Raw genomic sequence first — 562 nt, forward strand, 5'->3', positions numbered from 1 at the left:
ATGAAGGTATGTCAATGTCACAGGGACACAGAAACCAACTTAAAGAGTTGCCAATGCACAGAAACCAACTTAAAGAGTTGCCAATGACCAAAGCTGGAACAATATGAGGAATAAAATAAATTAGTATTAGATTATATCTCAAATTATAAAATGAATATTCATGAGTCCATACTCCTATAAACAAGTGCTTGAATAAATAATGGGAGAGAAGAGAAAAATCTCCTAGGCAGAATAGTTCCAAATAATTTATTTAGATACTTGAATCTTAAGGAGATCTAACATAACTCTCCACTTCTTGAGTGTGGGCTGTGCAGTCTCTTCTTTTCAAAGAATACAATCTGAAAAGTGGGAAAAAGATAAACTTCACTGTGGAGAAACTTGACAACACTACCTCAGCCAGGTAATCAAGGTCAACATCAACAGTGATAAATCATATTGACAGTGTTATGTCCCTAATATGATAAGAATGGGACTTTCCTTTCGTGGTCATCCTCCCCAAACTCAAAATCCCAGTCTAAGCATTAAAAAACTTGAGGAATGTTCTATAAAACACCTAACCAAT

Source organism: Homo sapiens, chromosome 5, assembly GCF_000001405.40.
Source record: "Homo sapiens chromosome 5, GRCh38.p14 Primary Assembly".
Classification (NCBI taxonomy): domain Eukaryota; kingdom Metazoa; phylum Chordata; class Mammalia; order Primates; family Hominidae; genus Homo; species Homo sapiens.